Below are 12970 nucleotides of genomic sequence, written 5' to 3' on the forward strand. Positions count from 1 at the left end.
TAACTGTATGTGTGTGTGTCTATGTGTGGTTGGGGGGGGGGCTCAGGGAGGAGGTGTGACAAGCCTGAGTGACCCAGGAGGGACTCAGGGCCCAGGAAGGGTCGGATACTCCTCCCCCATCCAGGTGGGACACAGCGAGCTGAGCAGCCCCTGATGAAACCAAAAGAGTCTCAGATCCTGTCCCTTTTCCTCCTCAGAACTCAGAGCACTGGATCCTTTGTTCAGAAAGCAAGAGAAAACACCAACACAATTCCTGCTACAGCTGAGGATGAGGGCGTGGAGCAGGTCACACAGACATACTAGCAAGCCTGCAAAGTCAAAACCGTAACAGCCACAGTAACTGACACACGTCAACAACTGACCTGGAGCCAGATGTTGCCCCATTTAACCTCCAAGACTCTCCTGTGAGGTGAGAACCATGATCATCCCCATTATACAGGTGAGAAAACCAAGGCTGATGGGAATTCATCACATGGTGCATAGGAAGCAAAGCCATGTTTCGAATCCAGGAAGCCTCTCTGTCTTAGGAAGACACGCACCCACTCATGCATGCAACAACAGATGCACAAGTAACAGTCAGAGTTGGCCAGGCACAGGGGCAGTTGCCTGTAATTCCAACAACTCGGGAGGCTGAGGCGGGAGGACGACTTGAGGTCAGCAGTTCAAGACCAGTTTGGGCATATATTGAGACCCTGTCTCTAAAAAATAAAAATTTAAAAAGAAAAACATTCAGAGTTGTGTACATTCACAAAAGGCATGCAAACATAGCATAGGGATAGAAATACAGGCATAAACGTGTGCAGAGAGCTGCAACCACGCGCATCTGCCCCTCTTCTCCAAATAAGGGCTGCCTCTTTGCACACCTCTGAGAGGTGCCCTCCACACAGAATACAACATACACTTGTAATATTGCCACACACAAGCACATAACTTTCTGGAGGGATGACTCAGATTAGAAAAACAGCATTTAGAGGGCCCCTGGTTAATCAAACGGCCTCGCCACCCCGCGCCACCTCTCTACACAGCTGATGTTGCTGATCAATGTCGCGGCTGTGCAGAGGGGGCATTTGATACCACAAAGGGAGCCAACTCCTGCTGAGGAATGAATGTGGCGCTTGTCAGCTCTGCCCCAGGCAGCAGCACAACATGATGCCCTGTTTCTCCTGGAATCGGGGCCCTGCGTCCGCTCCAGCCCTCATTTTCATGTCTTTCTTCCCAACAGACACAAGGCCGGCTCAGTTCTGGAGAAACAGCGTGGCTGCCAAGGCCCAGTGGAGGGAGAAGGCCTTGAAAAGTCACTTTATAAAGCATCCGTGCTCGCAGCAGCCAAGCCACGAGGCCGGAGCGGCTGACTTTCCATTCGCCACACACCCCACCCAAAGACGAGAACTCTGCCACAGCCAGCCCTTGTTCTCACCCACTGGGAGCCCTGGGGAGTTGAAATCACAGGGACAGCAGCAGGGAGCCCTTGGCAGCAAACCCAGCTCCTGGCATCTTCCTCGGGGGCCGTAGCTTGCTGTGGTCAGCCGAGCCAGTCTGATGCAAGAACTGAATGACGCCCATTCACTGTGGTGCCCTCGTGAGCTGGGAGATGTCCAGGCTGAGGCTGGGGCAGGCAGGCTCTCTGTCACCTGCAGAGGCTGAGACAACCTCAAGGTAGGACGAGAACCCAGGGTTGAAGCTAGCAGAAGCCAGGCCCTGGGGCCCCTGATGCATGATGAGAGTGAAAAGAAGGGCACAGTGATGTAAAGAATTCCTCCATTTCCCCTCCCTGCCCTCAGTTACTTCCTATCCATACAGAGGGGGGATGAAAACTTTAAGATTTCACTATTCAGCTGAGACTGGTGACTCACGCCTGAAATCCCAGCACTTTGGGAGGCTGAGGTGGGTGGATCACTTGAGGTCGGGAGTTTGAGACCAGCCTGGCCAACATGGAGAAACCCCACTTCTACTAAAAATACAAAAATTAGCCAGGCGTGGTGGTGCATGCCTGTAATCCCAGCTATTTGGAAGGCTGAGGCAGGAGAATCGCTTGAACCTGGGAGGTGGAGGCTGCAATGGGCTGAGATTGCACCACTGCAGCCTAGCCTGGGCAACAGAGTGAGACTCTATTTTATAAAAATAAGAGACTCCACTATTCATGCATTCACATGCTCATTCAACAAATATTACTGAGCACCTACTATATGATGAGTGTTATTGTTTTAGGCACTGGGAGTACATTAGTCAAATAAATAGTCACCACCTGCATGTAGCTTGTTCTCAAAATTCTCAAGCTCTCCCAACCCTCCCCATAATGAACAGCTGTGTGACTTAGAGCACACTGCTTCCCCTCTCTGTGCTCCAGTGAGGTCTCTCCCAGGGTTCCTGTGAATCACCATCTGGGATCCAGTAAGCTCCCCCATGGGGCCTAAACTAGACTAAGTTGGTTTCCGTCACTCACAGCCAGAGGAGTCCTGCCTAAGAAATTGGGAAAGAGAGCGGAGAAGACAAAAAGCAGGTTTGGGAAGGCTGCAGGGAGCTGATGAGTCATTTGATCATCTGGAAAGCAGATGGGAAGACAAGTGGAGACCAGGAGGCCCTGGGGAAGAGAAGCTGTGTTCACGCCAACCTTCCCCAGCAGGCCTCAGAAGCTGGGGGTCAAAAGGGACCACAACGCCCATTTAAACAAGGAGGAAGATGCTGAACAGCTAAAGGGTTAATTCAAAAGAAAAAACAAAAGAAGAAATGGCCATTTCTTTTCCTTGTTCACTCAATGTTCCTTCAACAAATTATTCTATGTGCTTGGAATATATGAGGCCCTGGGTTGGGTGTGGTATGCAACAGAAAAATAAAACATAAGAACATAGTATGTCTCTTCCCACAGGGTCATATGGTCTTTCGAAAGTCACCCTTTTAATTTGAAACCTTTTGCTGCTTCTTTATTTTTATTTTTTAATTTAATTTTTTTGAGACAGAGTCTTGCTCTGTCACCCAGGCTGGAATGCAGTGACGCAATCTCGGCTCACTGCAACCTCTGCCTCCGGAGTTCAAGCGATTCTCCTGCCTCAGCCTCCCAAGTAGCTGGGATTATAGACCCCTGCCACCACCCCAGCTAGTTTTTATATTTTTAGGAGAGATGGGGTTTCGCCATGTTGGCCAGCAGTCTTGAACTCCTGGCCTCAGGTGATCTGCCTGCCTCGGCCTCCCAAAGTGCTAGGATTACAGGCAGGAGCCACTGCGTCCAGCCTATTTATTCTTATTTTAAAAATTTATATATATGTGTATATATATAAGGGGTATAACACAGCGTTATTTTTAAGGAATAAGAGATATTTTGCTTTTCAAAGTGCCTGCTAAGCCCAGTGACATACGCTTGGTTAGCAATCACTAAATGTGGACACATTATAAATCCTCTATATATTTTATAGAGATGGGGTCTTGCTATGTTGCCCAGTATGGACATGCGTTCCTGGGCTCAACTGATCCTCCTGCTCAGCCTCCCATGTGCTGGGATTATAGGCATGAGACAGCAGCACTCAGTCTCTTTGTTTATTTCTCTGCCTGCTCCCCACCCATCTGTGTGACCCCTACTAAAATAACCACTGCATGGTGTTCAAGGAAGAGTATGGCCTTGGGATTCAGGCAGGTCTGCATTCTAACCCAGGGCCTTCTACCTTCTGGCTATGTGCCCCTGAGCAAGTAACTTGGCCTCTGCTATGGCTTAGATGTGTGTCCCCTCCAAACCGCATGTTGAAATTTGATCCCCAGTGTTGGAGGTGGGGTCTAATGGGAGGTGTTTGGGTTTTGAGGGTGGATCCCTCATGAATAGATCAATACCCTCCTTCTATTAGTTCTGCAAGAGCTGGATGTTTACAAACAGTCTGGCCTTCCCCTCCCTCTCTCTTGCTTTCTTGCTTACCTGTAATATCTGCACATGCCAACTCCCCTTCACCTTCCACTGTGAGTGAAGCTGTCGGAGGCCCTCGCCAGATGCAGATGCCTAATCTTGAACTTACCAGCCATCAGAATCACAAACCAAATAAACTTTCTTTCTTTATAAACTACCCAGCATCAGATATTCCTTTATAGTAATACAAAATATACGATGATAGCCTCTCAGAGCCTCAATCACCTGCCCTGGAAAATGGGTACAACACCGAGTTCTTTTTAAGGAATAAATGATGTTTTGCTTTTCAAAGTGCATGCTAAGTAAGTGCAGTGACATACGCTTGGTAAGCAATCATTGAGTGTGAACATATTATAAATTCTCATGAAATCTAAGAGGCAAAGCCCTGGGAATATCACAATATTGATCTTCTAAAGTCAGTATCAGCTTTCTCATGGCTCAGACTCACTCCTGAGTTTTGTGCTTGGATACTTAACAATTGCTCACTCCTAAATTTCCTAACTAGTTCCAGCTTCAAACTGGAAAAATTCCTCCAGTGTATTCAAGCCTCGTTGCCTAGCACCACAATATCCTTGGTTGATGTGCTTCTAGGTGCTAAAAGAATAGGCCGGGGATGGTGGCTTAGGCCGATAATCCCAGCACTTTTGGAGGCCAGGGCCGGCGGATCACCTGAAGTCAGGAGTTTGAGACCAGCCTGACCAACATGGAGAAACCCCATCTGTAATAAAAATACAAAAATTAGCTGGGCGTGCTGGCACAGGCCTATAATCCCAACTACTCAGGAGGCTGAGGCAGGAGAATCGCTTGAACCCAGAAGGCTGAGGTTGCGGTGACCCAAGAGATCGCACCATTACACTCCAGCCCGGGCAACAAGAGTGAAACTCCATCTCAAAAAACAAAACAAAACAAAAAAAAAGAGTAACGAGTGTTAGATATTGGTGGGGGTGGCATCAGAAGGACTTTGTGTGACATTCCCAGGTCTGTTCTGAGCGCAAAGGCCAGATTTAGACAGCGTTGAGAACCCAAATGAGGCTCTAGAAACTGGTCCAAACAATGTGCCCATAATGACACGTGTCAAAACCGAAGAAGGCCTTAGTCAGGGGAAAAAAGATGCAAATTACAAAGACCTTTTTCAGAGCCACCACCTTCTAAAAGTGAACAGAAGGAGCAGGAAGCTGCCAAAGTGTACCAGAACCTCCTCCTTCGACGCTAGAAAGAGTAACAGGTCAAGCTCCAACTTGCAATTCAGTTCTATTTTGAAGTTTACTGGAAAGCAGAAAATAAGAAGGGATTTGAGAGAGGCCGGCAGTTTGAAGGCAAGGAGGAACTGAAATAAACACATTAGACCCAAGAACACAAAAGTCCTAGCAGCTTGGACCTGCTATTTCTCGACAGTTCCTCCAGGCTCCTCATGCATAAGCCAATCAGCAATGATGTGCATATTTCAGCAATGATGTGCATAATATTGATCTTGAACCACAGCGATCTTCCTAGTTCCTTTTGCCAGGAGAAAAGATGGGGGTGGCCACACATTTGAGAAAGAAAGTCCATTAACATTACCCAAGTTGGTTTTGAAGTATTGAGACACTTTTTTTTTTTTTTTTTTTTTTAGATGGAGTCTCACTCTGTTGCCAAGGCTGGAGTGCAGTGACGTGATCTCGGCTCACTGCAACCTCTGCCTATCGGGTTCATGTGGTTCTCCTGCTTCAACCTCCCGAGTAGCTGGGAGTACAGGTGCCCGCCACCACGTCCGACTAATTTTTGTATGTTTAGTAGAGATGGGGTTTCACCATGTTGGCCATGCTGGTCTCGAACTCCTGACCTCAAGTGATCCACCTGCCTTGCCCTCCCAAAGTGCTGGGATTACAGGTGTCAGCCACCACACCCAGCTGAGACACATTTTTAGGGTGTGTGTATGACCGAGTTTTATGGTTGCAAACAAAAGACTCCATGCTGCCCAGTTCAGGCATAAAAAGAATGTCCTGAATAATGCAAGATGATGTATAGGATGCTTGGACAACCAAAGCCAAATGTGGAGGCTCTGCTGTGGGTGATCATGTCCCAACCACACGGACACTGACCAGCACAGACCCTGTCCCTGCTGCTAATGAGTTCACACTGCCACCACCAGGCACAGACCCAAATCCTTGACCGCTGCTGGCTGCCCCTTTTGCCAGAATGGATTCTGTACCAGGCTAGTTTCCCCACATAACTTGCTCTTTCAGGAAATCCAAAAGTATTGATACAAAAGGTGTATTAGAGCCATAAGTGCATAGAGAGAAAAGCGGGTACATTAAGCTTTGATTCTCCACTGCCTGTTGTAATAGTTTGTTTTCACGTTGCTGATAAAGACACATCCGAGACTGGGCAATTTACAAAAAGAGGTTTATTGGTCTCACAGTTCCATGTGGCTGGAGAGGCCTCACAACCATGGCAGAAGATGAAAAGCACATCTCACATGGCAGCAGACAAGGGAAGAGAGAGCTTGTGCGGGAAATTTCCCTTTTCAAAACCATCAGATCTCATGAGACTCATTCACTATCACGAGAACAGCGCAGGAAAGACTCACCCCCATGATTAAATCACCTCCCACTGGGTTCCTCCCACGACATATGGGAATTGTGGGAGTTACAATTCAAGATGAGATCTGGGTGGGGACACAGCCAAACCATATCACCTGTCATTACTTTTTTTTTTTTTTTTTTTTGAGATGGAATCTCACTCTGCGGCCCAAGCTGGAGTGGTGTGATCTTGGCTCACTGCAACCTCTGCCTCCTAGGTTCAAGCGATTATCCTGCCTCAGCCTCCTGAATAGTTTGGATGGCAGGCGTATATCAGCATGCCCGGCTAATTTTGTATTTTTAGTAGAGACAGGGTTTCACCACGTTGGCCAGGCTGGTCTCAAACTCTTGACCTCAAGCCATCTGTCCACCTCAGCCTCCCAAAGTGCTGGGATTACAGGCGTGAGCCACCATGCCCAGCAGCCTGCCATTACTTTCATTAGCACCAGGCTTCTTGCATATTTTACAGATTGCTGTCAATGGTCTAATAAACAGGTGTGTTAACACATCCAGCAGTAAAGAACCGGGGCCCTCGAACCTGCCTGCCTGGGTCTGAACCCTGCTCCCCAGCCCTTACTTGCTGGAAGACCTTGGGCAAATTATTCAACTCCCATCTGAGAATATTATTCATAACAGCACCCACCTCATGGGCCAGTTGTGAAACTTACAGAAGTCAATTTAAACCAAGGACTGAACATAGTACTTGTAATATGAGTTTGTACAAAAGTATCAGTTGCTATTGTTGATGTTGATAATAAAAGCTAAAATAACATTATAACCCCCTTCATGGTGGTAGTTTCTTCATAAGCTGCCATTAAAGCAAAGAGCTACCTACTTAATACAATTTGCTCCCTAATTAATTAATTATATCTAAATTTCATTGTATTGTGTCATTCTACAAGGAATGCTGCTACTATCACCTTGGGCTGCTAAAAAAATGCCCAGTCACTAAAAAAAATTGCTTAGACGGTATTCTCTGTCATTTCTCCCAACGAATAGGCAGTTTATTATTTTTTGAAGAAGTCTTTTGGCTGTGACAATGGGGCCTCATAACAATGAATTGAGAACAATCACTTCCAAACAGCAGCTGAAAACACCCCTTGGTTGCCTCTGAGTTTGGGGGTCACTGATCAAGAGGGTGACTTTTCTGGGACCTCTGATCTCTTAATAGTTGTAGTTCAACAAGAGCAGTTGTGGTACATTCGGCTTCACCTTCATCGTGGGAGAATGACCAGATGCCTACCTGGTTTTAAACCACAGTCAGGGGCTCCGGAAACTGTCCAAGAAGAAACTCCGGTGCCCTGAAGGCCTCTGATGAGCAACAGAGTTACCTTACTGACTGATGGACACAGTTAATTCAGCTGCTAACTCTCAAATTCTACTGCTGACTCACAATCCGGCTGCCCATCACTAGGTGGCCCGGAGGCCTAAGGTGAAAAGGATGTTGTCTTTCTCTGGGCACATTTTCAGAAAGCCCATTTAAACTTCTTGGTGGGGCAAGAGGGGGCATAAAAGGGGGAACAAGATCTTCCACATTGCAATATTCATGTTTTAATTAGCGAGTGTCCAGAACCTCATATCAACTTGATTTGAAGGGCATGTGTAAGAAGTATACCTACAACTCCTTCTCTGAGCCCCAAAATGGCCCCCAAAAACGCTCCGCACAGCTCCTGGGGTTGAAGATCCTGGTGAGGTGCAGTTTGTTCTCACAGCCACCGTGCAGCCCAGGTCCATGTGCATGATTCACACGAGAAACTAGGTGAATAGCACTCCTGGGGGTGCAGAGGTATACAGGGCAGAACCTGGCACACAGCACCAGGTCCACGTGAGGGGGTCCTGGCGCACACACACGTACACAAACACACACAAACCCCACACACATACCAAGGATTCCAGAATTCTGGGCTTAACTCAGCCTAGACTCTACCACATTCTTCATTCTGTAGTTAGAGGCCAAAATAAAACTCGTGTAAACAGATTAAATACCGTGGTAACCAAATTCAAACCAAACACCAAGGATTGGGTGGGGGGAGGGGAAATAGTCTTACTTTGAAGCATTTGGGGGTGTGGGGGTGGGGAAGAAAAGAGGTAAAGAGGCTCTAAAGATTCTAAGACATCAAAGTTCTTTTCCTGATTTCCCAGTGGAAACAGGACAGTTTCTTATACTAGGTCTCCCAGTGGATCACCATCCACCATCTTGGAAGGCAGCCCAACTGACTGAGTCCCAAGGAGACCTAACAGAGATTTACTTTCCCAAACAAGGAATACTTCAATAAGGGTGTATCTACAGTTAGAGTGCTTAATTCCTTTCCGAGATGTTTTCCTAATGGCAGCACTCCTGGGGAGAGTCAGAAGAATGTGTAACTGGTCAAATCCTGAACCTGATTTGCAGTCCAGCCCATGTTCACAATGCTCGTATCTGCTGAGCCTCTGACTTCTGCGACCAATATAGGCCAAGTGTGTCTGGAGAGATAATACATATAGCCACACTCCCCACCTTTTCCTCAAGACTAGTCCAGACCACAAGCTGGATGAGGTCAAAAACTATGTCTAATTTCTCACCATTGTATGCTCAGTGCCCAGGCTGGTGCCTGACACGCAGTAGGCAGTCAGTGAATACAGCCCAAAGAGAGGTATGGCCACAGTCATCCTATTTGTGCCCCCGGGACCTGGTACTCAAAAAAGAAGTAACATATCTGATGATGGTATACAGGCATGCATCAATGCCACACACTGTGCACTGAGGGGACACTGGGCTGGCTTCACACCCTTCAAGGACTCTAAGCAGTCATGCTGGGTACCCACACATGAGCAAGGAAGGGGGTGTTCTGTGTGTTTTCATAGATAATGCATTTGTCTATTTGCCATCCATTCATCACATGGCTAATTAGTTCAACTACACTTTCTTATTTTTTGTCATCATTTTTTTTTTTTTTTGAGACAGGGTCTCACTCTGTCACCCAGGCTAGAATGCAGTGGTGCGTGGTGCAATCTCAGCTCACTGCAGCCTCAACCTCTTGGGTTCAATCAACCTCAGTGTTCGGAGTACCTGGGACTACAGGTGCTCACCACCATGCCTGGCTAATTTTTGTATTTTTTGTAGAGATGGGGTTTCGCCATGTTGCTCAGGCCGGTCTTGAACTCCTGGGCTTAAGCCATCCACCTGCCTTAGCCTCCCAAAGTGCTGAGATGACAGATTTTCTGTATTGTAGATGCTCTAGCATTAGGGGTTTTATAGACCTGGGTAAAGACATCCCCTCCCAGTTCTAGCCCGTTCTTAGAGATAGCAAAGGGCTCAACCAGGAGCAAGCCTCTCACATGCAAACCAACAAACCCAGAGTCTATACCCCCTCAGCCATCACCATATCTAACTCTCACACACCAAGCCAATTTTCCCCCGCCCTAAACCAACCTGGGGCCAGGTAGCAGGCAGCTAGAGACCCCTCTAGAGCCCAAAGCCCTCCTGAAATTATTCAAGCCGGTCAATCCCAAACTGTTTGCCCTGCCTTGCCTCACCTTTCCTGTGGGAACCCCAGTAAAGGTTCTGGCCTAGATTTTCTCCTTACTCCTGTCTTCTGCCTCCAAACCAAAAAACCAGGGCCTCCTGCTGTGGCCCTGCAAGCATGCTGTGCCTCTTCTTTCTAGGGAAACTGAGTCACACTAAACTTTCAAGGGCATTGACCTCACTGTGATGTCACCCAGACATCTCTATTTATTTATTTGGTGGGCTTTATTTCTATTTATTTGACCTCGCTGTGTTGTCACCCAGACACCTTTATTTACTTATTCATTTATTTGGTGGGCTTCATTTATTTGTATTTATTTTTTAGAGACAGGGTCTTGCTCTATCACCCAGGCCAGAGTACAGTGGCACAATCATAGCTCACTACAGTCTCGACCTCCTGGGCTCAAGCAATCCTCCAGCTTTAGCCTCTGGAGTGGCTGGGACCACAGGTGCACACCACTATGCCTGGCTATCAGACATCTTTATAAATTAAGACCCAGGCACAAAACGAGACGGACCCGTGGATGAGTCTCCTTGTAAGCGCCTTGCTTTCTCCGCTTCCTCCCACACTCCACTGGGCACCCACAGGAAGCCCTGACACACATAATGAGAAATGAGCAAAAGGGCATTTCTGCAAAGGGAGATGAAAAACAAATCTTAGAGGAGTGGCGAGTGTCCTGGTTAAGGCTATGGAGCCAGGCAGCCTGGGTTTGCTTGAAGGTCACCCCTGCCACCACCTCCTCACTGTGTGTACCAGCGCAGCCCCTCACCACCCTCAACTGCCGTTTGCTCAGTTATGGAACGGGGACCAGGACAACACAAGATGCTGTGAGATTAAAGCGCATGAATACCCAACGGGGCCGGCATGTGGTGAGCACTGTGTGGACGGTAACTGCGATGATTCCTCACTCTGCCTTCTCCAAGGGAATCAGAACTGCAGACCCCCCGCAGAGAAAAACGATCACACCCTTTATTCAGCACTTCCCGCGTGTCTGACACACAGCACCCACAGCCTGGGGTATAAACACCAAAAACCACCCTCACAGGGGCGGAATGATGTTCATTCCCATTTTGCAGAAGGGAAAACTGAGGTTCAGAGAGGTTAAGCAGGTTTCCCCCAAAACACAAAGCTGGAATTGGTGCGTGCAGCCAGGATTTCTGACTCCAAAAACTCTCCTCTCCTCTCCCTACTTTCAATCTCCCCCATTTCTGATCCCCTCCCCTCCACTGCAACACATATATATTGAGTGCCTACTGTATGCGAAGAGCTGGTGCAGGAGTTGAGAACACAGCAGTGAGCAACACTGCTGGAATCCGAGTCTTTATGAATCCTACAGGCAGCAGGAAAGAGGTCATTGAGGGGTAATCTCAGAAATAAATGGAGGCCGGGCGCGGTGGCTCACGCCTGTAATCCCACCACTTTGGGAGGCCGAGGCGGGCGGATTGCCTAAGCTCAGGAGTTCAAGACCACCCTGGGCAACATGGTGAAACCCCATCTCCACTAAAAAATACAAAAAATTAGCTGGGTGTGGTGGCACGTGACTGTAGTCCCAGCTACTCAGGAGGCTGTGGCAGGAGAACCGCTTGAGTCCGGGAGGCAGAGGTTGCAGTGAGCTGAGATAGCACCATTGCACTCCAGCTTGGGCTACAGAGTGAGACTCTGTCTCAAAAAAAGGAAAAAAAAACCCACAGAAATAAATGGAGAGTTCAGATGGGGATGAGAGCTATGGAGGAAAAGGAGAAGCTGCTGTGGTGAGCAGGAATACGAGATTCCATTTGCTGTGCATGCAGTGTGTCAGACACACGGGAAGTGTTGAATAAAGGGTGTAATCATGGAATCAAATGGATCCCTGATCATGGATCAAGAATCACAGACAGCTTCTATGGGGAAGAACATTCTGGAAGGAACAGCAAGCATGAAGGTCCCCAAATGGGACAGGACTGGATATGTTTGAGGAACTACCAGAAAGTCAGTATGGCAGTGACACAGTGACAAGAGAAAAGCAGGCAATGAGAGGAGAGCAGAGGTCCTACCAAGCTCGGCCCTCCCGACAATTTGGGTTGGATCACTGTTTGCTGTGGCGCTGTCCTGCACTCTGTAGAATAAGATGTTTAGTGGCACCCCTGGTCTGTACCCACTAAATGCCTATACAGCTCCCGCCCTGTCCTGCCAACCAAAAATGTCTCCAGACATTGCCAGATAATGCACCCCACATCCCTTCCGGGATAAACTGTGAGACTCCACGGCGATGCTATTTCAGGGACAAAAAGAAGCCTGTGCTTATGGAACAGAAACTGGCCTTGCCACGACCTCATTAGTGGAGAGGATGGGCCCCACTCATTTGGGGGAATTATTTGGGGAAAAGTATAAACTCCCTAGCTCAGCAGACTGCGAGCTCCCCATGAAAGGCCATGTGTCCTGGTTCCTCACACGGGGCCTGAGATGCGAAAGCACAGAGGGTACCTGGGAGGGACTGAGAAAGGAGGGGACTGTGGGGTCCAGTGGGCACATCCCTATCACAATCAGCCTGTGCAGCTAGGAGGCTGCCACGCACATCGGCAGACTCTGGCTTTCAAAATGACCCTGGAGGAGCTGCGGCTCCTGCTGGCATGTCAATGTCAACAGCCTTTACCCTCCCCAGCTCCTGGAATGCTAGAATTTAGATTCTCAGTTCTGCGGGAGAGCAGGACAGATTTACGGAATTCTCAGCGGCTGCCTCCACCAGGGGTTGCCAGGGGCAAGCATCTGCACCGTGGTGAAACATCTCTTTGAACAAGGAAGTGAGAGTGAGCATGTGCATTAACTATCGGAGATGTGGGGGAGAGGAGGAAGCCATGCAAATGAGCACGGACAGCCAGCAGAGACGTTTAACCTTGGTGCTGCTAGAGTACCCACAAGTGCTAACGAGGTGGCTGGTGTTGCTTTAATAATCAAATAATAACCAGGCAATGGTTTAGATCCATTTTGGACCCTTCACAATTCCCAGGACTACACTTAACAGTTTGGTAAGACTT

General features: G+C 48.1%; 1 protein-coding gene across 3 annotated transcripts in view, besides 1 other annotated feature; it reads right to left on the reverse strand.

Annotated features, from left to right (window-relative positions):
* XYLT1 (xylosyltransferase 1) overlaps positions 1-12970 on the reverse strand; it is a 369192-nt gene that overhangs the window by 302301 nt on the left and 53921 nt on the right. The window lies entirely within an intron of this gene.
* Positions 891-2090: an enhancer, noted in NCBI's record as "CDK7 strongly-dependent group 2 enhancer chr16:17498817-17500016 (GRCh37/hg19 assembly coordinates)". NCBI's record gives its function as "activates an origin of replication core promoter dependent on BRD2, BRD4, P300/CBP, MED14 and CDK7 cofactors, with strong dependence on CDK7, by STARR-seq in HCT116 cells {active_cell/tissue: HCT116}" and the evidence as "EXISTENCE:reporter gene assay evidence [ECO:0000049][PMID:35650434]".

This window comes from Homo sapiens, chromosome 16 (genome assembly GCF_000001405.40).
Source record: "Homo sapiens chromosome 16, GRCh38.p14 Primary Assembly".
Lineage (NCBI taxonomy): Eukaryota > Metazoa > Chordata > Mammalia > Primates > Hominidae > Homo > Homo sapiens.